Genomic DNA, 24,401 nt, shown 5'->3' on the forward strand with positions numbered 1-24,401 from the left:
ACAGCTGTGGAAGAGTAGGTTTGATTAGTGGACTTCAGAGTAAGGATGTAGATAGGGAAATGGGTTTACTCTAATGTTTAGACATTTTAACCGATGAAATTAAATGCAAAATATTTGTATATTTTTAAACAAATAGATTGATCTCATTTCAACTTGTCATCAGCTCTGCACTCACTCTACTAGAACTATCCTCAAGTGAAGGACGTAGCAAATCACTCCATATGTGACAGTACCATTTCTAATTATTCTGTGGTCATCTTTTATTTTAAACTATCTTCTTTGTTCACTGCAACATATACATTTATCCAAAATTGTGCTGGTTGCTCTTCCTACTGTATTTGATAAGGTTTATAAATATCTTGGTGGTGGTCACTGATAGATGTGAATTACTCCCATCAGCACACATCTATCTGAACCAAAACATTTTTTTACAATAAAATATGGTCCTTCAAAAACCATGCTTTCTGGTCGGGCACGGTGGCTCATGCCTGTAATCTCAGCACTCTGGGAGGCCAAGGCGGGCAGATCACCTGAGGTCAGGAGTTCGAGACCAGCCTGGCTAACAGGGTGAAACCCTGTCTCTACTAAACACACAAAAATTAGCCTGTAATCCCAGCTACTCAAGAGGCTGAGACAGGAGAATTGCTTGAACCCAGGAGGCGAAGGTTGCAGTGAGCCAAGATCATGCCACTGCACACTAGCCTGGGCAGCAAGAGTGAAACTCCATCTCAACAAAAGAAAAAAAAAACCTATGCTTCCCTTCCATATTGTAACCACCTTGACACATTTCCTTCCTTATCACACATTTCCACACATTTGCTTCCTTATCTCTTTCACTGAGTTTTTTCTCCATCATTCTTAAGTCCAGGAAGAAAAGGGCTATGCAAATTCCTACTCACCTCAAGCTCCCCCACCCCTTACTTTCTCTAAGTGTCCACAAAATTAAAGTTTTATCTTCGAGAGGCAGAACTTAAGTGATTGTACCTACCCATTCTATTTCCTCCCACATTATAAAAATGATGCAAGACTTTATTCCTACTCCACATCAACGCCAGAGGATCACACAACTACAAATTCCCATGTTTTACTCAAGGGTAATCATGTCAAGGGTGAAGCATGGAAGCTTTACTGAGAAATATTTTGCCCATATTCCTTCAGACTTTCCCAGTTTCATAATGTGATTTTTACCTAAATTGAACCTGCAAAGCTCAAAAGTACATAATTGATTATATTTACTTTCAATATAATCAGTAATTGATCCATGACTCCTAACTGGCAATATCCACTCCACCAACCCAAGAATAAATATTTACCTTAAGTTCTAACTAGCTACTTTGGGAAGCTGGGGAAGCACAGGAAAAATAATGGGCTACAAGACCAACACCATGATGACTCACATAAGTGAAATATATCTAACTACACATAACACACATGCTTCAAAAAAGACAGGCCAACAATGCCTAAACTCTTTATTTCACCAACCAGTATTTCTGATTTTCTTCTTGATACTGGATTTTAAAACCTTAGAAGTCTATAAATACTGCATTCAGACTTTCCACATCAAGAGAAAGGGGACCAGGGCAGAAGATGTCAGGCCCCATGCTGTTTTGGGGTGGGAAAAGTGGCAAAGAATTCTCAACAGCCTGTGTCAGTTTTCTAACTTAATTGAAACACCTTTAAGCTCTCCTTCATCCCCAAACTTTCCCCTATGGTGTCTATGATAGAAAAACACTTCTCTCTCATATATGTCCCATCACTAGGGAGCCAGGGGGAAGGGAGTGGGCATTACACAGGCAAGCCAAACTTTTTATTCAGCCAGAAAATGGATTTCTGATTCAGTTTAATGGTAAGGAGTTGTGTAAAACCGTACCAAGTCCTGCTTCTTCCTCAGAGTGAGCTGGGCTGCATTTTTGTGACTGGAAGCATTTCTCATAATGGTGAATTAAGCACTATAAAAAAATAAAGTCAATCCCATCTCTATGAGTAGCATAAGAGCTGCTTCCAAGAACCCAGGGATGCCCACATCCCATAACCCACCCAGACACGGCCAATTCCTCATAGACAGCTACATAAAACCCTTTCGTCAACTTGTTTTGGGGGGTGAGAGAGAGGCAGTGCTTAGGGAAGATGTAGGATGGATTTTTTTTATTCCTGCCACTACCAAAAACTATAAATCTACACACACACTCACACGCACATACATGTCCATTTTTAAGAAAGCTTTTCCTCCCTGTGACTACAGGAACCCAGAATCCAGCCTCCCTCAGGCTGAGAGACGATGCCTATTAACGGCACAGATCTAGCATATCAACATACTATAGAAGGCTCCTGTGTTGTCTCACAAGCTGAGAGGGCAGGGCAAAGAAGTGGACACTCATGGGGGACTTGCTTTTTGTCTTAAATCCAATCTACTCAGTAACACTTGCAGGTCCAGGGGCTGGGAGAGGTTCTGTGGGCACAACGTGGTGGACGACCTGATGGTCCCAGCCCACTGTGGTAAGCAGGGAGTGATTGAGCGGGGACCAAGTCGCATCTCTCACAAAGTCTCTGTGGGCTTGGCTTCTAAACCTAGAAGAAAGAAAAAAAGTCGGGGCAGAGTAGAGACAAGAAAAGCAGACCTGGAGAAAAAAAGAGAACCCAACACATCTGGGGCACATTTTTTGGGTGTGTTACACACATTTCACCAACTGTATGGCCTCATCGCCAGGATAGCAGTGTAGCTATCCACAGTGGATGTCATCAGTCATCCAATCCAGTCTTCTATTTTCATAGATGAAGAAATGCTGGATAGAACAAGACAGTGATGAGGGGCAGTAACAGGCAGCAAATCACGGCAAGGAGGGAAGTACAATTCAGGTCTTCCAGGTGCTGCCTTTTACCCTGTAGCAGGCTGCATTTCATACGCAGTTCTTTATGTGAGAGGGTAGACTGCCGCCCCCTTGTGGGAGAGCGCTGGAGGGCTAGACTTAAAAATTTCACCTACCACCCCCCTCTACCAAGGACACGGCTTGTCCTTGGGGTTGTGAATGTGCCCCAGGAATGGACAGGGTCAACAGCCAGCCTGCTTCCATTACCAAGTCCCTTCGGATACAGATGGAGAATCTGTTCTCCAAAAGCACAACACAGTTTTCTGAAGAGGAAAATGACTCGCCCACCCACTGCTCCCCTTCCCTGATTCCCAAAGGATTCCACTTCACACTTACAACTCAGAAAGGCTTGAGTCCAGCACAGCAAGTGAGCAGTCTTCACTGAGAGAGGCCAGGAAGGGAACACTATCAGATGGAGGAGAGGGTTGTGAAAGGTCCAGCCTGGATCCCAAGACAAAACCTTAACTGGGCCGGCCCTGCCGCCACTGTAAAGTGACCCAGGAGAGGCAGCCTGATTCCCACTTTTGGCTAATCTGGCTACTACAAGTCCACACTAAAAGTTTCAAGTAAAGATGAGGGAAATGAAGCAAAGTTAGGGTTGACAACCATCCTGGCAACTAACCACCCCATCTGGTCCCTCTCTATAGCTTCAGCAATAACCCAGAAACACAGGCTTTTCCAATCTCACAGTCCTAGAAGCCCACAACATTAACCATTTTGGGTGTTGGGCAGGAATGAAATCACATTTTAGCCATTTCAGACAGAAACCATCTAATCTGAAAAATCCTTTGACTCCCAAAGGATTCTACTTCACACTTAAGAGATCTTCGATGTTCCGAAACCTCAGCTAGAACACTGTCTGCTTTAAGGAACTACTTCATCAGCTAATGCTTTGAAAACATACACACACACCCTCACGGTTCCCATTTATACCCATCAGGCCCCTGATGACAAAGAACAGTACCTGTGTGGGGAGAACACCAGCCCAGTGACACACTGGGAGTGTACAGCTGAGCTCAGGACACAGCTTGTACTCTTGGTGTCCACAAGGGAGACTGTCCCATTCTCATCACCTGTAGAAGAGAAGGAACATGTCATAGTGATTAAGAGCATGGACTTTTGTGCCAAAGACTTGAATCCTAGTTCCTCGAGCTTGTAAAAGTTAACCATTCTGAGCATCAGTTTTCTCTTTTGCAAAGTAGGAATAATAAGTCACTGGATCATTGTGAAAATTAAGTTAATGAACGAAGCAGTTATTATTTTAACCACAAACTATGTCACCATATACACAGCCTCATGACCACGATAGCGCTACACCTACCCACAGTAGGACAGAATTCGCTATATAGCAATCCACTTGCTTTGTGGATCACTGACTTATAGCCATGCCCAGAATACAGAAGCTGGATCAATCAATCAAAAATCAAATCCACTGGGAAAATAATCATGTTCTCCAAAACTACACTAAAACTACGTTGGCATCACCCCACCTCCCCACCCTCAATTCATAATTCATCTAGTGTCCATGAGGGCTAAGACTGAGCAACAAGGGCCTTGTGTGTTGTGGAGTCAGCTCTTTCTTTTTCCTCCTCCCCTTTCCCAGAGTCAATATGAAGTCTGACACGCTGCCTTACCAAAGACAAAGACTTCACTTTGCTGAGGATGCCAAGCCAGCGAGGTAGGAAGGTAGCCAGGCGCACTGCAGCCTGCAAAGGAGAGACGAGGGTCTGGACCAAAACTCAGAGTACAGAAGAAGCAGTTTCTCAAATGATATCACTCTAAATCCTGGGAGCACCTTTATTTGATTTCCCAAACCCTGCTAAGGCAGCAGTGTCCTCATCCTTGAGCCTCATAACCATTTATCCCAGCAGCCTCCTGCCCTTTCTGGACACGAGTCACAGGCAAGTTTCAGGCACGAATCATGACGATAACAATTCTGGCCCCTTTGTCCTACCATCTAATAAAGTAAATCACCCACCCAGGAACTGGCCCTTCCTCTTGGTATTCATTGCACAGAATGGGGTTAGCAGAGCCTCACTGGAAAAGAAGGAGATTATGTCACTCATGTCACAGTAACTACACTGGGCATCTAGCAACTATGCTTTGACACTGGCCAAAGACAGTCTCTTCTATCAGGGTTCCAAGTACTATTCTCCCACCAATGAATCTCAGACTCACCAATCTGTGATGCTGGCTTGGGACAGCGGGTATCCCAGAGTAAAATTCTATTGTCCTAGAGGAAGGTGGAACAGAAAAAGGATTTCATAATCCAAAGGAGCAGTTGCAGGCCAGAAAGTCTCCCCACTAGAGACTTTGGCCTATGGATGGCTGGAGTGTGTTTAGGGAAGAAGGAGCTATCTCTTACCTCGCTGCATGAAAGAAACACAGAGTCCTTGTGAGGAGAGGCAGCAACACAAGTGACCTGAGCAGCATGAGCTATAAAGGAGAGAGAAAGAGAAATATGATAGAAAACAAGCTGAAGCATTACTAGAGGGCCAGCCCAGGAATAATCAAGGGGCAGGAGGGAGGGAGGGCTGGTCTCATGATGCAATTTAACAAATTTTGTGGGAGATTATGGATTAGACAAAAGCTAAGAGGAGAAGTTTATAGACTTATAAAACCTAAAAAGCCTTGTAAAAAAAAAACGTATTAGTGAAGATAATGAATGAGAAATTAGGGGCTTAGTAAGAATAACAAAGGAATTTCCAGTTTAGGCATCCTAGACGTGAGGGCTAAATAATTCTAGAATAGCAGTCTTCATACTGGAGTACACACACCTCCAAGTAGTATACAAAAACTTTTGAGGGAGTTCTGGGCGCTAATAGTATTAAGAGAGCCAATTTCTCTAATGTTCTCTTTCTTAAAATTGAACTGCCTCTGTTTTCAATCACTCTTCTCCCACTTCATAGAAAGAACACATACCTGTCATTCATCCCAGATCTTTCCACGCTACAATGCTCAGGGGTATAAAAATATAAGGGTTCTAAACTAAGGGACAAAAGGGGCTTTTCCATAAGAACCAAAGAGCAAAAAGAAAGAGCATCTAGGTAAAATTCAATGAAGGGGGCTGATCTTGTTTCAGTCACACCACAAACACAAGTATGGCTCTGTGACTTAACTCTGTTTCTGTCTAATAATGAGAACTAAAAAATATGATAGATCATTGTGATAAGGACATATTCAACAACTTTATCTGAATTTAAAAACAAAGTCAGACTTTTTCTGACAGAAAATTTAGTCTATCTTGGTCCACTGGCTTTACAATGCAGACTGGCTTTTGCCAGTTAGGCTGTTTGGTAGACATTCATGCAAACTAAGTAGCGTTAACCTGCGAATCTAAAATTTTGACAAATATATGCTTGAAATAAGCACACAATAAATTATATGCCAGAAATTACCTTCTCTGCAACTACTTAAATAAGCATTTTTAGGTATCAGTTTAAAAATGTATGAGGGGGCACAGATTTTCAAAACTGTTTTAGGAGGTCTACATGTAAAAAACTTTAAAGTCACTGCTACATGTTAATTAGAAGCTGTGGAAACCTTTTCTACAGTCATTTTACCAGACTTTCCCAGGTAGTCTGAATGTGGCCCTTCCCTGAGGCAGAAGGATGGAATTAAACCAGTTTCCATAGTTCTTTCCTAGCCCTAGAATTCATAGAAAGCCAACAGGATAAGAAGTAAGAAAAGGAATTTATTGCTCACTTGAAAAAAGCAAAGCTCTGGGACAAGCACCATGGTGGTGTACAAAAGATGAATACATGGTTCCTCTACCCTCAAAGGTTTTGGGGCAGGGTGCAGTGGCTCATGCCTGTATCTCTCAGCACTTTGGGAGGCCAAGGCAGGAGACCACTTGAGCCCAGGAATTTGAGACCAGCCTGGGCAACATAGCAAGACTCTGTCTCTACAAAAAATAGAAAAATAATAAAGGATTTGGAATTCAGCAGGGGGAATAAGACACAAACACAAAGAACTAACAAAAAGGCTGCATGGCAGAAATGCTGAAAAAGAGTTAGCATTAACCAGGAAAGCACATCATATGTCTAAGAAATAAAAAGCAAATATAATAGACATAGAACATTGACTTTTTTTTTTTCCCTGAGACAGTTTCACTCTGTTGCCCAGGCTGGAGTGCAGTGGCGTGATCTCGACTCACTGCAACCTCCGCCTCCAGGGTTCAAGCACTTCTCGGGCCTCAGCCTCCCAAGTAGCTGGGATTACAGATGTGCACCACTACGCCTGGCTAATTTTTGTACTTTTTGGTAGAGTCAAGGTTTCGGCATGTTGGCCAGACTAGTCTCTGACTCCTAGACTTCATATGATCCACCCGCCTCAGCCTCCCAAAGTGCTGGGATTACAGGCGTTAAGCCACTGCGCACAGCTGGGCATTCAACATTATTGTAAAACTATTTCCAAGTGACCCTGAGGGTCCAGGATACTGGACCTTGGATATGAGTCAGTGATTTCTCTGGCCTATAACTTAGTCATGTACTTTGAAGTTAGAAATGGCAGGGAAAGGCACTTAGCCATTGAGAGAACCACAGTGATCCCCCAGCATCTAAACCTTGGAACCATGTACACATTAAGGCTCTAGACATTATCTTCACAAAGAATGGCTCCCAAGATAAAGTTAACTACTAGTGCTGTTAATGAAAGTGAGCAGAAAGAGGGGCATTAAAAAAGTAATGGTTCTCACCAGAAAACAGACATTTTATGAAGGTAAATACTCAAAAGTTCAAGATTTAAAAGTCTCAAGATTTATCCCTCAAGAATGTCAAGGATCTAGTAAGCTTGAAGAGAGGAAATGGAGTAAAAGGGCTTCAATGCCATGACAAGAAAATGGGATTTTAATCCACAGGCCACAAGAAACTAATAAAAGACCAAAAGAGCTAGATTGCTAGTGGAGAGATGAGTGCCACTGCCTGTGTAAGGTAAAGCCTGAAAGTGAATACGGGCATAGAAATGGACAGGAAGGTGACTGACCAGTGGAAAAGACTAAAAAGAACTTAGTGGCCAACCGATGGTGGGAAAACAGAAGAGGTGGAAAAGGACCGAGTTTGAGCCCTGTGTTGCCAAGGTGGTGAGGCCATCAATAGAAACAGGGAAACTGGCTGGTCTGAAGGTAGTGAGTTATCTCAGTTGATTGTTCAGTCAGTTACAGATTAAACTCCTTGTTCTATTCTTTCCTCCCTTTTCACTACTGCACTTGACTAGTCGAATTAAAAAAAAAGAAAGAAAGAAACAAGGAAATTGAGAAAAGGACAAGGAGTAGATACCGGAGCCTGACTATTGTTTTACAAGAAAACTATCAGAACATGGAATTGCTGCTCCTAACATCAAAGCAAAGTTCAAAAAGTCCAAAAACACAACAGCTAACACCAGGGCTAAAAATGAAAGAATACTCACCTCGGTATGAACTCAGTACCACCTGCTGAGCAAGGTCCCAAACCTTGATGCTAAGAAGCAAAAGCAAACAGACATTTAATCTTGACCTACACTATCAACATAAAAACGTGTTCAAACAAGAACTTCCTGTAATCAACATTCCCCAAGTCTTTGCCTCTTGGACTGCTGCTATGGTCTACTTACGATGGACTGCAAAATCCCTAAGGAAACCTTATAGACATGCTAAAATAAGTCACTGGATTCTTAGAATAAGCCCAAAATGTTACCTAATGAGGTTAACAGGATAGGAAAGGCACCCACAGGAGGCTTAGAGACAGGAGCAATGAGAACAGGGACCCACCAGATGTCTTTGCTACCACTGACAGCTTGTGTGCCAGAGCTCAAGACACTGACTGTAGACACAATGTCATCATGCTCATACTTGCAGAACTTGCTGACAATAAGTGTCTCATTCTCATCTAGTTCCCACAATTCAACAGCACCTGTTGGGGGTAGGGTAAGGAAAACATGAGCTTGGATTATACCAAGGCAGTAATTCACTTCTAGGATTCAAAGAGCCATTGTCACTAAATTAACAAAGTAAGTTAGTTATTCCTGTAAAAGCAAAGTCCACATCATTGGAGAGTTCAGCTAATTTCTGAGTCTTTGACTTTATTCTGCGTTACTGTTTTCCTAATGACAGCCCAGACAAGTAGGTGCAGAAAGCTTCCAGAAAAAGACAAAGATGGAACAGTCTGTAAAATTCATTATCTGCTTTTAGTGAGAGAATATGGAAAATGAGCTGCAAGGGGACAAGGATGAAGTTTCCACAACTGTTTAAGCAGCACACTATCCAGTGATGTTAACACTTCCCCAATATTTGGACACTAGTAAGTATTTGCTGAACTAGTTGAATAAATGTCTTGCAGAGTCTTTAAAAATATGTTGAATAATTGAACGTCTTGCACAGTGACTGGTTAAGTATAGAGAATCCGCCAAAAGTTGTCTTGATTATGTAGTGTTCAAGCTCAACTGTCAGAGAGGTTAAATCTATCAAAAACTGGGACTTTAAACTTCCATGCAATGCCGGCCAACTTCCAAATTCTGATTTTAAAAAAAAAAAAAGCCAAAGCCTGCATCGCTAAGCCTAACAGTCAACAAAAAGAAAGCAGAATGAAGACAAGAAAGCGGTAAGAAATGGGAAGAGACATGTAGCACAGATTGGCTTCAATGTCATCTTAAAATCAAGATTATGCTTGGTCTGGGCTGTGGGGGTTAAGGGGCAGGTTACACAGAAGAAAAATGGTTCCAATCCGTTGCTTAATTTTGTTACGGATTTTTCTAGGAAATCTCACCAGACAATTTAGAATTTTAGAAAAGGTATTTCCCACCTACACAAGAGTTTGCATTCGGGGCCAACACTCTCAGGCTCCTCCAAGCACTGAGTATAGGACGTTAGATATTGAGCTCAACCCTACGGTACCCCAAGTCTCCATTCTACCGTTCCACCCGGGGGTGGGGGTGGATAATGGGATAGTGACTCACCTGAATCGGAGGCCACTAGAATACCTCTCTCCCCAACCCAAGTGAGGTCAGCCACTCCAGCCTCCGTTTGGACTCCGGCGGAGCAGAAGCCTTCGTTGGGGGCGGCACAGGGGTCCTTAAAAAGCCAGAGGGAGCCGGCCCAGCAGCGCCCACTCAGGCTGGAGGCCCCGAGGAGAAGCGCCCCATCTACGGGGGGTACAAGCTGTCAGCGCGTGAAGGGTAGAAGGGTTCGCCTCCATGGAGACCGCACAGAACAGCGTTCCGGCCGGGTCTGGATCTGAGCTCAGGAACGCGGGGCAGGGCTGGGGACAGCTCGGTGACGCGACCCAGGGTCAGGATAACATGCAGGGCGGGGATGGGCTGGGAGGGTCAGTCTCCGGGGAGGGGCGCCCTGGGCCGGGGTAAGGGAGCTCCCAGGCCCGGGATCTCGGCTCACCGGACCGGTACCGCGCAGCCTCCAACTGCCGTTCCATGCAGGCGGGCGCATTTGGGGGAAGATTCCACTCCCGGGCCGCCGGGGGCACTAGGGGGGGTGGGGTTTCCTTCCGCATCTCCACGGTTCCAACTCCAACCTAGACTCAAACTGGACGCCGGCCGGAGACTCCGCTCCGGCAGCAAACCCCACGTGGTGCACCTCTGAGCCTCCGCCCCTCTCCCGAGGGAACCGCAACTCTACTTCTCGCGAGAATTGCTTCTATGGCTCCATCCTGCTTTCCGGCTGTCGCCCTCATGCGATAGGCTCTCAGCGTTACTTGACTCTTCTCGCGATAATTTTTTTTAAAAATCTCCCAAGGAAAGTTGAAGGAAGAGTACAAAATTTTCATCTCGCGAGACTTGTGAGCGGCCATCTTGGTCCTGCCCTGACAGATTCTCCTATCGGGGTCACAGGGACGCTAAGATTGCTACCTGGACTTTCGTTGACCATGCTGTCCCGGGTGGTACTTTCCGCCGCCGCCACAGCGGGTAAGGGGTATAGACCCTGCTCTGGACTATCAGAGTGATTGGAAAGAAGCGAATCTAGGGGTGACAGGGAGGGGAGAAGGGCGCAGCGACACGGGCCTGAGAGGCGAGTGGTCAGTGCAGTTCGGAAGGGAGCGTGGGGTCTTGAGGGACGGGAAAGAGGGGTACATAGGCTTAGTGATAGAGCCTGGCGGGGGTAAGGAAAGGGCAAACCAGATTTCATTTGACTTTGCTGACCTTCGCCTTGTCTATCTGCAGCCCCCTCTCTGAAGAATGCAGCCTTCCTAGGTCCAGGGTAAGTGTGAGGATAATGCTCCCTTTCGTCTTTGTTTTCACTACCTTTTATTTCCCGATTCCTGCCCCCACCCCCTTAGCTTTAGGTCAGAAATTTCTTTCCGATAATTTTGGGACACTTAAACCCTCTTTCAGACAAGACACTTGTTCCTGTAACTGCCAGGAACGCTCTCATGTCACCTAATGACCAAGATTTTAGCAGGATAAGTAACGTATTCTAACTAAACTAGAAATTGGTTTTGCTGTCTTCTATACCCGCCCTACTCCTTTGTGACCTTCCCTTGGGACCTTATGACATGTAGCTTCCACAGCCTGAATCCGAGTAGATGACATACCCAAGAATAAATTTTGTTCAATAAAACAGTAAAGCATGTTGTTTACAGTCGGTTTCCCAGATACCTAGTTTTTGCTGCCATATGATAACAATCAGAGAAATCATTCATTGATTCAGTAAATATTTATGTTGCCTAAAAACATAACCAAGGATACAAGAATGAGTATGGCTAATTACCTGCCCTCATGGAGCTCACAGTCTAGGAATGGGAGGCACCTTAAGAGTATTGGTTTAGAGTGAGGGCTCCACAGCCAGTACAGGGTCCCTGGCCCCTCCACTTACTGGCTGTGTGACCTCAATTTCCTCATCTATAAAATGGCGATAATAGTGCATTGTGGCTTTTGAGAATTAAGAGACAATTGCTGTGAAACTCAAAAACAGTTCTTGGTACATAGCGTGTGCTTAGTAAATTTAGCAGCTGTTACCGTTAAAATTGTTCCATAAGACATGTCCATTTTCCTAGAGATTTCTCTTTTTACTTCCAAACTTAGTTCTAAAGCTTGCAAAATACGGTAACTCAAATTGAAAAAAAATGGACTTGAAAAAGTGGTCTTATCTATAATTAAGTCTCATGTATGCAAAAAGTAAGGCTATAATTGACTGCTTCCAACTTAGAAGAAAAAGGACCCCATACAGACTGGTAAACAAATAATTGTAATACCAGGTAGTAAATAACTTATACTTACAAGATACAAGGAATATCCTTGGTTTTCTTTCACACTCCATGTCCAGTACCTCAGCAAGGCTCTTCCTCTAGAAATTTGGACTCTGACTGCTGCTTCCACTACCGCTAAAGTAGGAACCACTATAAACTTTCACCTAGGTATTTTAGTAGTCTCTTAATTAGTCTTGCATCTCTATTCTTGTCCCATTACAGCCCATTCTCATAATAGCCAGGAGGATTATGTCAATCCCCCACCAAGGCCTTCCAGAGCTCCCCATCCCACTTGAATAAAATCCAAACTTAGCATAACCCAGAAGGTCCAACATGAATTGATTCCATCCTATCTCTTGACACCATCTCCTTGTGGTCTCTTTTTAGCTCATTCTCCAACCTTGGTGTTCCTCTGAAAACTACCAAGCGCATTCTTGCCTCAATATCTTTCTACTTGCTCTTCTCTCTTTTCCCCAGATGATTGGGTCAAATGTCATCTGACTCCCTACCAAAAAACTCTTCCCCATTTTGTTGCTCCCTATCCGCTTACCTTGCTCAGTTTTTCTCCATAGCACTTAGAGCTGCCTGAAATTTTGTATGGAGATACACACTCACCCTTCCCATACCCCCACTAGAATGTTGAAGGCTGGAGCTTTGTTCATTGCCATGTTACCGGTGCCTAGCATTAGTAGAAAGTCAGTAAATGTTTTTTTTAATTGATTAAAAGAATGAATGTTAGCCCAAAATGGGGGGAGGGCTTTACAAATCTGGAGGCTAATTGGTCTTGGTAGTCATTGCTCCTGATTGGTCTTGATAGTCATTGCTATAAAGTCATGGTATGAAGGGCATACAAGGCAGAAGGAGCAGCATAAGGCAATTTTTTTGTGGTGTTTCTTTGTTTGTTTTTGAGAGCTGTTAAGTAATTCCAGGAGAGTAAGAGAATGAAGGAAGATAAGGTTATAAAATTTGGCAGGACCAGGCACAGTGGTGGTTCATGCCTATAATCCCGAGGCCAAGGCAGGAGGATCACTGGAGCCCAGGAGTTCAAGACTAGCCTGGGCAACATAGACAAAAACAAAACAACAAAAATTTTTAAAAATTTTTTAAATTAGCTGGGCATTGTGGTGTACACCTGTACTCCCAGCTATTGGGAAGGCTGAGGTGGGAGGATGGCTTGAGCCCAGGAGGTGGAGGCTGCGAGTGAGCAGTGATGGCACCACTGCACTCCAGCCTGGGTGACACAGTGAGACTTTGTCTCAAAAAAAAAAAAAAATGACAGGTACTAGATTATGTATGTTATATTAAGTAGTTTTCTGTAGGCAGGAGAGAGCCTGTTGAGTTTTCAAGTCAGATTTTCATTTTAGAAACATTGGCAGTAATGTGAGTGGGCTAGGTTTAAGTTGGGGTATTTAATAAGAAGCAGAGGCCAGGTATAGTGTCTCACGCCTGTAATTTCAGCACTTTGGGAGGCCGAGACGGCAGATCACAGTAGTTTGAGACCAGCCTGGCCAACATGGCAAAACCCCGTCTCTCCTAAAAATAAAAAAAAAAAATAGCTGGGTGTGGTGGCACACGCCTGTAATCCCAGCTACTCAGCTACTCGGGAGACTGAGGCACAAGAATCACTTGAGCCTGGGAGGTGGAGGTTGCAGTGAGCTGAGATCATGCCACTGTGCTCCCGCCTGGGTGATAGGGCAAGATTCTGTCTCAAAAAAATAAATAAAATAAGCAGAGAGACCAGGTTTTGTATTGTTAAACTAAGCAAGAGGTGATAAGGACTTGAACTAAGGTAGCTAGTTAGGGAGACTTGTCAGCCTAAGCATACCATTTAGTGCTATGATTTAAATCAGTGCTTCTTAGCCTGGGGTGGTTTGCCTGCAGGTGACATTTAGCAATGTCTGGAGATATTTTTCAGTGTTACCATAGGATGGGTCGGGGAGGGAGGGGCTACTGGTACCTATTGTATAAAGGCCACAAAGATACTGCCAGACATTCTACAATGCACAGAACAACCTCTTACAACAAAGAAATATCCAGTTCAAACGTCGGTAGTGCTGAATTGAGAAACCTTGATGTAAATGAAGGAATCTCAAGCATGATTCTCAGATTTCAAAACCTGGTGGGGTAGCTAATATATTTGGAGGCAGAAATAATATTCAAAAGATAAGCATTGTACCAAAATAAATGAAATAATGTAAATTCTTATATTACAAGGAGATAGAAGTTGAGAGATTGGAGGAATGGAGGGTAGGAAGTGGGACAGAAATACACTGAAAACTTGAAGGAGACTAAATGACAGCAGATATAAAGGGACTAGATTTTATTTCATCAGAAGCTTAAGGAGACATCAGTATGCTGTAACTGTTAAAAGTGTAGTCTTAAGCTGCTTTAATACAAGAATAGTTTCCAAATCCACTGTTGATAATAGTTCAATTGTTCAAGCTCAGTACTGGCAATAGTAAGTTCTCAATAAGTATTTGTAGGATGAATAAATTGGCCAGACTATACTTAAAGTATTATATTCAGTTCTGTATACCTCATTAAAAAAAAAAAAAAAAGATAAAACCAGAGAAGTCCTTACGGGCAATCAGGATTGTGAGGGAACAGATGTTTGACCCAGGTACATGTGTGTTATCTTACATAGAAAAGCAAAATTAGAACTAAGAATGGATTGAGGTTCCAAGAATGTATGTATCATCTCAATTCAAAGATGAACATAATTAGAGCTACCCAGTACTGAAAAAGTCTGTTACATATAGTGTTTAGCACTCTCATCAAAGAGAGTATTCAAAAAGGTCCAGGAGCTTACAACATATCAGGCATATAATAGCTAACCACTTACGTAGAACTTTTCCATGTGCCAGGCATCATTCTAAGCACGTCACATATATTAACTCAATTAATCCTCTCAACAACCATATAAGGTATTATCTTCTATTTCCATTTTACTGAGAGAAATCTGAGATTACAAAAGCTTAAGTTCTTTACTCAAAGTCAAGGAGCAGGTCTAGGATTTGAACTCAAGATGCCTATCTGACCGCCACGTCCACATTCTTACATATTTCAGTGCTAATGATAGACATACAAAGTGCTAGACAGATGATCTGCAAGGCTGATAGAAGGGATTCCAGTATTGGGTAGAAGGTTAAATGTCTGTGATTAATTCTTTGCTGTTGTCACAGCTGATTACTGGACCCTAACCTTCCCATTCCCAGTCCATTCTCTTTCCATTATGAGAGTTAGAAAACTGCCTCAATTATCAACCCTATTTATTGTTTCTGCTCATTATTCATACACTGTATTCTCCTTAAAGAAACAGGCTTTACATTTGTACAATTACTACCTGTAGGGTATTGCAGGCAACAAGGACCTTTCATACAGGGCAGCCACACCTTGTCCCTGTACCACCTCTTCCTGAATACGGAGGAAAAGTTCGTTATGGACTGATCCCTGAGGAATTCTTCCAGTTTCTTTATCCTAAAACTGGTGTAACAGGTGAGCATTTTTGCCTAGTCTCTGGTAATATGTTTTGATGGCACCACTAAAATCAAGTTAGGTGGGTTTTCTTCTTTGGTTTTTGTTGTTGTTGTTGTTGTTGTTGTTGTTGTTTTTTGAGACAGGGTATTACTCTATCACCCAGGATGGAGTGATAGATCACAGCTCACTGCAGCCTCCACCTCCCCAGGCTCAGGTCATCCTCCCACCTCAGCCTCCCGAGTAGCTGGGACTTGGCGTGCACCCGGCTCATTTTTCTATTTTTTTGTAGAGACGGGCTTTCACCATGTAGCCCAGGCTGGTCTCCAACTCCTGGGCTTGTGGGATCCACCCATCTTGGCCTCCCAAAGTGCTGGGATTACAGGCTTGAGCCACCCGCCTGCAGCCGCAAGTCAGCTATTTTTAAAAGGAAATTGTAACAATTGATTTGATTGCTCCAACTTGTCTTTGGTATAAATTTATTTGGGATTTTAACTTAATTTTACAGCATTATCTCTGTTTGTTAGTAGATCAAATTTTTTGATGCCTGCTTTATGCCAGGCACTGTTGCAGTCATACAGTGTTGAACAGTGTTAAGTGCCTGCTGTCCTGGAACATACATTCTGTTGTAGGATGACAATAAAGAAATGAGTAACTGTATAATATACTGTTAGGTAATGAAAAGGGTACGAATAAAAATGAAGCCATGTAAGGCAAGAGTCCCCTGATTAAGTTTATGATTCTCTCTACTACATGTACTGCCTTTCTTGGCCCATACCCAAGTATTGCTATGACTGGAACATTGGAAACCGAAGATTGTTTTTTTTTTAGCCCTGGAGTCACCTAAAGTAGCATTTTCCTAACTGAAATTGCTAGAAACATTAGTCTCCTCAGACGTCCATAGGTGATAACAATGTTACATATGATAGATGTTTCTTGCAAATTCATATTTAAAATTTGTATATTAAAGGCAGTTAAAAAAAACTGTTGGAACTTTGTATGGGAAACCAGGTAAAATGTATTTGAGTTTGTAACCCTGTTGTTCTTATGATACATCCTGCCATCCTATGATTCTCAGAAATACTGTAAAATGCTTTCCTAAAAGCCTGCTCTGGGCCTCCCTTACATCCTGTGAGGCGCGGAGGAAAGACTAAATAAATGTAAATCATGGTTTGCATCCTTTCAGAACACATGGCCTGGTTAAAGAAAAAGCCATATTTGAAGCATTGTAATTAGGTGCTACAGGAATTGAGAATCCTAATATTTATTCATCCTTTTATATACATATCACTTTGTAGTTGTTTTTTGCTTGTTTCTTGTGTAAATTTTATCCGGTCTAGTGTCCCATTCGATAAATAGTATATTTTGCTGGACAAATTACTTCAGAAAGTTATCTGACATCTTTGTAGAATAGTTTAATTTACTGTGCGGGGTATTGTGCTTAACATTATTTCTCAAATTTATCAGACTGAAGAAGGTACTGTCCCCATTTTACAAATAAGGAACTAAATTCAGAGATTATTTAGATTGCTCAGTTTCTTTAAAATTGTAGAGTCAGTATACAGATTTCCCTGAGTCCATATCTTTGTTCTTTCAACTCTACCATACTGCTTCCCAATCCAGTGTTTTGTCTTTGAATCTAATTAAGTCATTACTTTGCCTTCAGCTAATCAAATATAGAAGTACCTTTCTATCTTCCCTCTTTTAGGCATAGCATATCCCTTCATAAAATAACTCTTTCTTCTTTTAGGACCCTATGTACTCGGAACTGGGCTTATCTTGTACGCTTTATCCAAAGAAATATATGTGATTAGCGCAGAGACCTTCACTGCCCTATCAGTACTAGGTGTAATGGTCTATGGAATTAAAAAATATGGTCCCTTTGTTGCAGACTTTGCTGATAAACTCAATGAGGTAAGAACCATAAACTTTATTTCCTATTTTAGACTAGCAGAAACATGAAGGTCATCTAGTGATATTTTTGATATGAGTGTTAGGGGAGCAACATATAGAAATGAATCTAATGCTTCAAATAAGTGTTAACGTTAGTTACTAATTTGAGATAATTTTTTTATATCTACTAAACACTTTAGCTTTTCTATAGTTTAATCATTCAAAAGATATTCTATAGTTATTATGGGCAATTCTTTTTAAGGATTTGTGCGTTTCTTTCTATGTTTCTTTGTGGGTGTTTTTACAAATGAGATATACAACTTTGAAGAAGCATGAAATGAATCTCCTTTTTTTACCCTTTGTGCTTTCACTGATCTTTGTTGTTGCTATCACAATTGTAGCAAAAACTTGCCCAACTAGAAGAGGCGAAGCAGGCTTCCATCCAACACATCCAGAATGCAATTGATACGGAGAAGTCACAACAGGCACTGGTTCAGAAGCGCCATTACCTTTTTGATGTGCAAAGGGTAGGTTTCAGAAGTTTCTAGGAAGAATGAAGTTACTTGTTGTGTGCATTTTTTTAATTCAGAATTTTTTATGAAGAATGGTTAAATAGATTGAACGTATTTTATTTAGAAAAGAGAAGATTTGTGTAGGAGTTGGCATTCACGGCTATTCAAACATTTAAGAACTGTCAAGTGGAAAAATAGTTCAAATTATTATAAAATTAGAATCTATAGAAGCTATTAAAAAAAATTTTGGATCCACACAAAATGAAATAGTCATTAAGTTAAAGCTGATTTAAAAATGGCATGCACTGTGTAAGGAAGACTAGGTAAAATACATCCTGTGTATTTCATACACACTTGCTGCAAGAACATCTTAACATCTTTGCTGTAAGGAAATCTGATACTGTACATTCTAAATCCACAAAGCAGGCAGGGCACAGTGGCTCACACCTGTAATCCTAGGACTTGAGGAGGGTGAGGCAGCAGGACTGCTTGCACCCAGGAGGTCAAGGCTGGAGTTAGCTGTGATCCCACCACTGCACTTCAGCCTAGGCAACAGAGCAAGACTCTCTCAAACACACACACACACACACACACACACACAAACAACAAATTCAGATAGCAGTAGAGCTTTTTATCATGGTCAGAACATGATTAGATTCTAAAATATGCAGCTTCCAAAACAATCTTTAGGAATATGTTCAAGTATTTTGTTATTACTGTTTTTATTTTGAGCCTTGTACTTTATGGCTAATATTTAAAAGTGAGGTGCTGTTATGTTGAAGTTTTATATTAAAATGAAATGAAAAATGAGATGCTAAGGTAGAGTAAGCATCTGAAATAGTTAGGATCTTGGCCAATATTTCTCAATATTGGCCAAGATACTAAGCATCTGAAATGTTTAGGATCTTGGCCAATGTGGTCTTGGTACCACATGGATTAGAGTTATCTTTGGTGTTAATTTTTTTGTCCCTTTCCAAGACTTATGGAATCAGAACCTTTCTTAGGGGCTATCCAGAATCTGTATTATTTTAAACAAGATCCCTAAAGACTCTTAAGCACATGGATATTTGAAAATCTCAGAAAATGTTAATTCCATGTATATTTAGGTTACAAAGGGAGAATGCTTCCTGCTTCTTGCATAGTATATACACACACGTGAATGCATGCATACATATATTTTGGCTTTTTTAAAAAACCATATTGGAAAATGTAGCTTTTTCCTAAGAGTCAAATGATAGTAATTTAGGTTTTTATTTATTTACATTTACTTGATAGATATTTATTGAGTTCTTCCTGTGTAGATATTCTGATCAAGGCAGAGTGCTGAAAATATAGTGGAGAACAAAAAGCTTCTGCCTTCATGGAGTCTTATTTTCTAGCCAGCCTTTGGGAGAAGCACAGAAAATAAATAATTGAACAGATGCAAATGTCAACAGGTAATAAATGCCAGATAGAAAAATAAACTAGTATTAAAAAGATTGCAGGCCAGGCGCATTGGCTCATGCCTATAATCTCAGCACTTTGGGAGGCCAAGGCGGGAGGATCACTTGAGCCCAGGAATTTGAGACCAGCCTGGGCAACATAGACCCCCTTTCTACAAAATTGCAGGAGGAGGGAGTCACTGTTTTTATAGGGCATTCAAGAAATGTCTCTAATATGATATTTGAGCAGACACCTGAAAGAACTAATAGTGCAAAGTATGTGGATTTTTGGGGAAATAAGTTCCAGGCTGAGGGAAGAACAGTTGCAAATGCCCTAAACCTGGAAGTTTGCTTGATACAGTCAAGGAAAAGTAAGAAGGCCCATACAGCTGAAGTAGAATTGGTCGGGGGAGAATAAAAGGAGATAGAGGGAGGCCTGGGACTGTGATATATAAAGACCTTAGGCTCCTATAAGAACTTTGACTTGGACTCTGAATGAGAGAAAGTCATTGAAGGATCATTCTGATTGCCTTGTTGCCAATAGCCTTCAGTTTGGTATGCATTGGTTTGTGATGCCTATGGGTTAGCCAAGTAGAGATATGTAAGAGCTTGGCCTTATGTAGCCTTACTGCCTGTATGCTGATCTTGGCTTCACAGTTTATTAGCTCTGTAACCTTGGGCAAGTTTCCTAATTTCTGCCTCAGTTTCCTCACTGCAAAATGGATACAATTATAATAACTATGCCATGGTTTGGTTACAAGGTTTAATTGAATCTAAACACAAGAGTGTTTAGAGTGTAGTCAGTACTCTACAAATGTTAACTATTATTTGATCCAGCAAGTATTATGACATAAACACAAAGACAAATCTACAATGTATGCACCATTATTTGTAGTACCAAAAAATGAATTATAGAATACCAGTATAGTGGAATCCAGTGTAACTTAAAATTGAGGTAGGTTTGTGTGTCATAATTAATAAAAGTGATGTGTATATGCCTATATTTTGATGGGTATACCTATATTTTTATTAAATATTTCTGGGAGGGAATACAAGAAATACAGGAAGTTAATGGCCTATGGGGGAGGCTGAAGGAGACTTATTTCATACAGCATCACTTTTAAATATGTTTTTGCCATATGCTGTTATAATTTCTAGGTACATATTACCTATTAAATAAAAGAATTTCACGTAAAATACAAAAGAAGTGGGCATTCTCACTGGCAGAATCTTCAGAGTAGAAGTATTCCTTCAAGTATACAAACAATATTTATCATTTCTTAATTTTGCCCCAGAATAACATTGCTATGGCTTTGGAAGTTACTTACCGGGAACGACTGTATAGAGTATATAAGGAAGTAAAGAATCGCCTGGACTATCATATATCTGTGCAGAACATGATGCGTCGAAAGGAACAAGAACACATGATAAATTGGGTGGAGAAGCACGTGGTGCAAAGCATCTCCACACAGCAGGTACACAACATTTTTGTAGGTTCTGATGTTGTACTGGTATCTCTTAACAAGTATCTGCTGATGTTTTGTTAAGGTAGGAATAGCTGGCAAGGAGTCTTTAGCCTAGAAGTAGCAGTGTAACCCCGGTTTGTTTTTCTGGATAGTGATAAGCAGGAAGATGCTGCATACCTGTCAGGATGGCTTTTCTCTTTCCTTAAATTTGGGTAACATTAACTGATATATTTAATTTCTCTATAAAATAGACTGGGCTGGGCACGGTGGCTCACACCTGTAATCCCAACACTTTGGAAGGGCGAGGCAGGAGGATCACTTGAGGCCAGGAGTTCAAGACCAACCTGGGCAACATAGCGAGATCCTGTCTCTACAAAAAATTTAAAAAGTAGCTGGGTGCGGTGACAAACGCCTGTAGTTCAGCTACTCAGGAGGCTGAGGTGACAGGATCTCTTGAGCCCAGGAAGCATAGGCTGTAGTGAGCTGTGATTGCAGTATTGCACTCCAGCCTGGGTGAGAGAGCGAGACCCTGCCTCAAAAAATAAATAAAAGACTGAACAAGGCTATTTCTAAGCCCCTTCCATTTTCTAATTCCATGACATTCCATTTCTTCTTTTCACCTGCATAACTTGTCTGTTTTGAACGGAAATGTTTTCTATTTGCTTAAACTGAATTAATTTTTTTTCATTTATATTTTTGCTTTAATATGACTTGATTTTTTTTTTCTTTCTCGAGTTTATAACATTTAAGTATTTCTGGTTGTTTTCAGCATAACCTATACAGGATTAGAAAAACAGTGTCTATCAAAGTTTTTTTTTTTTTTTTGATAAACTTTTACATAAAAGTAATATATATGCTTACTTAAGAAACTTAGAAAATACAAAAGAAGTCTAGAAAAGAGATTAAAAATTATTTTCATTCTTAACATTTATATATTACTAATATTTGTTGAATTGGTCTTTTTCAAGCAACTGTTGGTTGTACAAGCCAACATCAGTGGCAGATGGTTACAGGAATATCTGGCCTCAAATTCTATACAGGTTTCACCCATAAAGGCTGTGAGCCAGGGAATTTTAACTAACCCCCTGGATTTGCTTAAAATAAATTATATCTCCTCTGTGTTAATTAATTTTACTTCTAAACCTGTCTAGTAGCTGTATAGTGTTAAGCCAGTAATCATCTTGAGGTTCTGGTCTGGTAGGAGGTGTCTTTTAGAATAATGGTGTTTATACTCTATACTTTTCTATGTTTTGGAAAGGTCTAACCAGATTTCTCTTTCCTTATCACAGGAAAAGGAGACAATTGCCAAGTGCATTGCGGACCTAAAGCTGCTGGCAAAGAAGGCTCAAGCACAGCCAGTTATGTAAATGTATCTATCCCAATTGAGACAGCTAGAAACAGTTGACTGACTAAATGGAAACTAGTCTATTTGACAAAGTCTTTCTGTGTTGGTGTCTACTGAAGTTATAGTTTACCCTTCCTAAAAATGAAAAGTTTGTTTCATATAGTGAGAGAACGAAATCTCTATCGGCCAGTCAGATGTTTCTCATCCTTCTTGCTCTGCCTTTGAGTTGTTCCGTGATCACTTCTGAATAAGCAGTTTGCCTTTATAAAAACTTGCTGCCTGACTAAAGATTAACAGGTTATAGTTTAAATTTGTAATTAATTCTACCATCTTGCAATAAAGTGACAATTGAATGAAACAGGGTTTTTCAAGTTGTATAATTCTCTGAAATACTCAGCTTTTGTCATATGGGTAAAAATTAAAGATGTCATTGAACTACTGTCTTGTTTATGAGACCATTCAGTGGTGAACTGTTTCTGGCTGATAGGTTATGAGATATGTAAAGCTTTCTAGTACTCTTAAAATAACTAAATGGAGTATTATATATCAATTCATATCATTGACTTTATTATTTTAGTAGTATGCCTATAGAAAATATTATGGACTCAGAGTGTCATAAAATCACTCTTAAGAATCCATGCAGCAGGCCAGGCACAGTGGCTCACACCTGTAATGCCTGCACTTTGGAAGGCCGAGACAGGCGGATCACTTGAGGTCAGGAGTTTGAAACCAGCCAGGCCAACACAGTGAAACCCTGTCTCTACTAAAAATACAAAAGGTTAGCCGGGCATGGTGGCAGGCGCCTGTAATCCCAGCTACTCAGGAGGCTGAGGCAGGAGAATTGCTTGAACGCAGGAGGCAAAGGTTGCAGTGAGCTGAGATCACGCCACTGCACTCCAGCCTGGGCAACAGACCTCGACTCCATCTAGAAAAAAAAAAAAAAAAATCCAGCAGACACCTATCAGGAACATAGAAAATAACAAGTGTTGGCAAGGAAGTGGAGAAGTTGGAACACTTGTGCACTGTTCGTAGAAATATGAAATGGTACAGCCATTATGGAAAAGTGTGGTGATTCCTCATAAAATTAAAATGGAAATACCATGATCCAGCAATCCCAGTCGACATATATACTCAAAAAAATTAAAAGCAGGGTCTTGAAGAGATACTTGTGTTCCATGGTGATAGCAGCCATTGTTCACAATAGCTAAAACATAGAAGCAGCCCAATCGGCCATCAGTAGATGAATGGATAAGCAAAATGTAGTATATCCATGCAATGGAATATTATTCCACTTCAAGGAAGAAAATTCTGACACTGGCTACAGCATGAATGAACCTTGAGGACGTTATGCAGTTTTACAGGATGAGTTATGGAGCTGGATAGTGGTGATGGTGGCACATTAAGGATGTATTTAATACTGTTCTTAAATGGTACACTTAAAAATGGTAAATTTTATGTGTATTTTACAATCTTTTTTTAAATTGAAGAAAAATCCTGTAGATAAATTAGAAAATTCTTCCCTTCATAGGTTTATCTGCATTTGATTCTCCCATACTTGTACAAGGATTTATTTGTATTCAAATGGACAAATTACGCAATAGGAAATATTTGAAAATATTTATCATGGGTAATTGCTATTTTCATTGACTTCCTAAGATTTTATGTAATAATCATTTGAGTCAATATTGGTAGCTAATGTACTAATCTAATATTGAAATCAGATTGATATCTTTGTTACTTAAAGATAATTTGATTGGATCAGCAGTTATTTCAAATTGATTAAACAAAAAATTATAAAACACCTAGTTTGTGCTAAGCAACGTAATGCAGTGATCATACAGAGATAAAAGTCCTTACCTCGGAGTTAAATATCTACTAGGAAGACAGCAAGAATATGTGATAATACAAACTTGAGCACAGGGTGCTCTGAGAGTGTGGCAAGCACCATTTTAGGTAGTCTCACCAGCCTCTTGTTTCCCTCATATACATCATCCAGGTCAAGGTTCAGTCAGAGAAGCAGAATATATGTTTATATATAAGGAATTTGACTACGCTGTTGTGGGAGCTAAACAATCTGTAAAGCTGTTAGTGTTCTTTCTGATGCTGGAGCTTAGAGTCCACACGGCAGTCAGTTAAGGGAAGACGGGTGTAAAATGGGAGGCAGTTAAGAACAAGTGGAAGTAACAAGCACAGACAAACCCATGTCCGTTTTTATCATCTCTGGCCTTGATAGTGGTTGTCCTGTGTAAC

The 24,401-nt window shown here is 40.9% G+C and overlaps 2 protein-coding genes across 6 annotated transcripts, besides 3 other annotated features; one reads left to right on the forward strand and one right to left on the reverse strand.

The window, feature by feature from the left end:
• Window positions 1-1,068: 1,068 nt before the first annotated feature.
• WDR77 (WD repeat domain 77) lies at window positions 1,069-10,435 on the reverse strand. Of its 5 annotated transcripts, none has more exons than NM_001317063.2 (10): window positions 10,234-10,435; window positions 9,798-9,983; window positions 8,614-8,755; window positions 8,274-8,323; window positions 5,233-5,303; window positions 5,046-5,100; window positions 4,502-4,573; window positions 3,832-3,940; window positions 3,204-3,272; window positions 1,069-2,562 (listed from the first exon to the last, which is right to left on the reverse strand). In NM_001317063.2, exons 1-10 carry the CDS (start codon window positions 10,346-10,348, stop codon window positions 2,409-2,411), a joined length of 1,023 nt encoding a protein of 340 aa, NP_001303992.1. In that variant the 5' UTR covers window positions 10,349-10,435; the 3' UTR covers window positions 1,069-2,408. The 5 variants fall into 5 exon arrangements, 4 of the variants coding, with proteins under 4 accessions (NP_001303992.1, NP_077007.1, NP_001303991.1 ...); NM_024102.4 differs by having other exon boundaries at window positions 1,069-2,568; NM_001317062.2 differs by having other exon boundaries at window positions 1,069-2,568; window positions 3,204-3,308.
• Window positions 10,363-10,732: an enhancer, noted in NCBI's record as "active region_1495". NCBI's record gives its function as "activates an Ori minimal core promoter by ATAC-STARR-seq in GM12878 lymphoblastoid cells {active_cell/tissue: GM12878}" and the evidence as "EXISTENCE:reporter gene assay evidence [ECO:0000049][PMID:35858748]".
• Window positions 10,643-23,952, forward strand: ATP5PB (ATP synthase peripheral stalk-membrane subunit b). Its single transcript, NM_001688.5, has 7 exons — window positions 10,643-10,760; window positions 11,016-11,052; window positions 15,390-15,535; window positions 17,265-17,428; window positions 17,809-17,934; window positions 20,636-20,815; window positions 22,096-23,952. The coding sequence occupies exons 1-7, from the start codon at window positions 10,721-10,723 to the stop codon at window positions 22,171-22,173; spliced, it is 771 nt and encodes a 256-aa protein (NP_001679.2). The 5' UTR covers window positions 10,643-10,720; the 3' UTR covers window positions 22,174-23,952.
• Window positions 10,783-10,892: an enhancer, noted in NCBI's record as "active region_1496". NCBI's record gives its function as "activates an Ori minimal core promoter by ATAC-STARR-seq in GM12878 lymphoblastoid cells {active_cell/tissue: GM12878}" and the evidence as "EXISTENCE:reporter gene assay evidence [ECO:0000049][PMID:35858748]".
• Window positions 16,352-16,401: an enhancer, noted in NCBI's record as "active region_1497". NCBI's record gives its function as "activates an Ori minimal core promoter by ATAC-STARR-seq in GM12878 lymphoblastoid cells {active_cell/tissue: GM12878}" and the evidence as "EXISTENCE:reporter gene assay evidence [ECO:0000049][PMID:35858748]".
• Window positions 23,953-24,401: the final 449 nt, after the last annotated feature.

Source organism: Homo sapiens, chromosome 1, assembly GCF_000001405.40.
Source record: "Homo sapiens chromosome 1, GRCh38.p14 Primary Assembly".
NCBI lineage: Eukaryota > Metazoa > Chordata > Mammalia > Primates > Hominidae > Homo > Homo sapiens.

What these genes read in the sequence shown, in the direction of transcription:
- WDR77 (NM_001317062.2), bottom strand. Translation starts at nt 10,348, where the DNA reads ATGCGGAAGGAAACCCCACCCCCCCTAGTGCCCCCGGCGGCCCGGGAG. An exon ending in GGCTGCGCGGTACCGGTCCG is followed by an intron (nt 9,984 to 10,233) that starts GTGAGCCGAGAT and finishes TACCCCCCGTAG; the next exon opens with ATGGGGCGCTTCTCCTCGGG. An exon ending in CTGGTGTTCTCCCCACACAG is followed by an intron (nt 3,309 to 3,831) that starts GTACTGTTCTTT and finishes CTTGGGATCCAG; the next exon opens with GCTGGACCTTTCACAACCCT.
- ATP5PB (NM_001688.5), top strand. Translation starts at nt 10,721, where the DNA reads ATGCTGTCCCGGGTGGTACTTTCCGCCGCCGCCACAGCGG. An exon ending in TCCTAAAACTGGTGTAACAG is followed by an intron (nt 15,536 to 17,264) that starts GTGAGCATTTTT and finishes TTCTTCTTTTAG; the next exon opens with GACCCTATGTACTCGGAACT. An exon ending in TTGCTGATAAACTCAATGAG is followed by an intron (nt 17,429 to 17,808) that starts GTAAGAACCATA and finishes TCACAATTGTAG; the next exon opens with CAAAAACTTGCCCAACTAGA.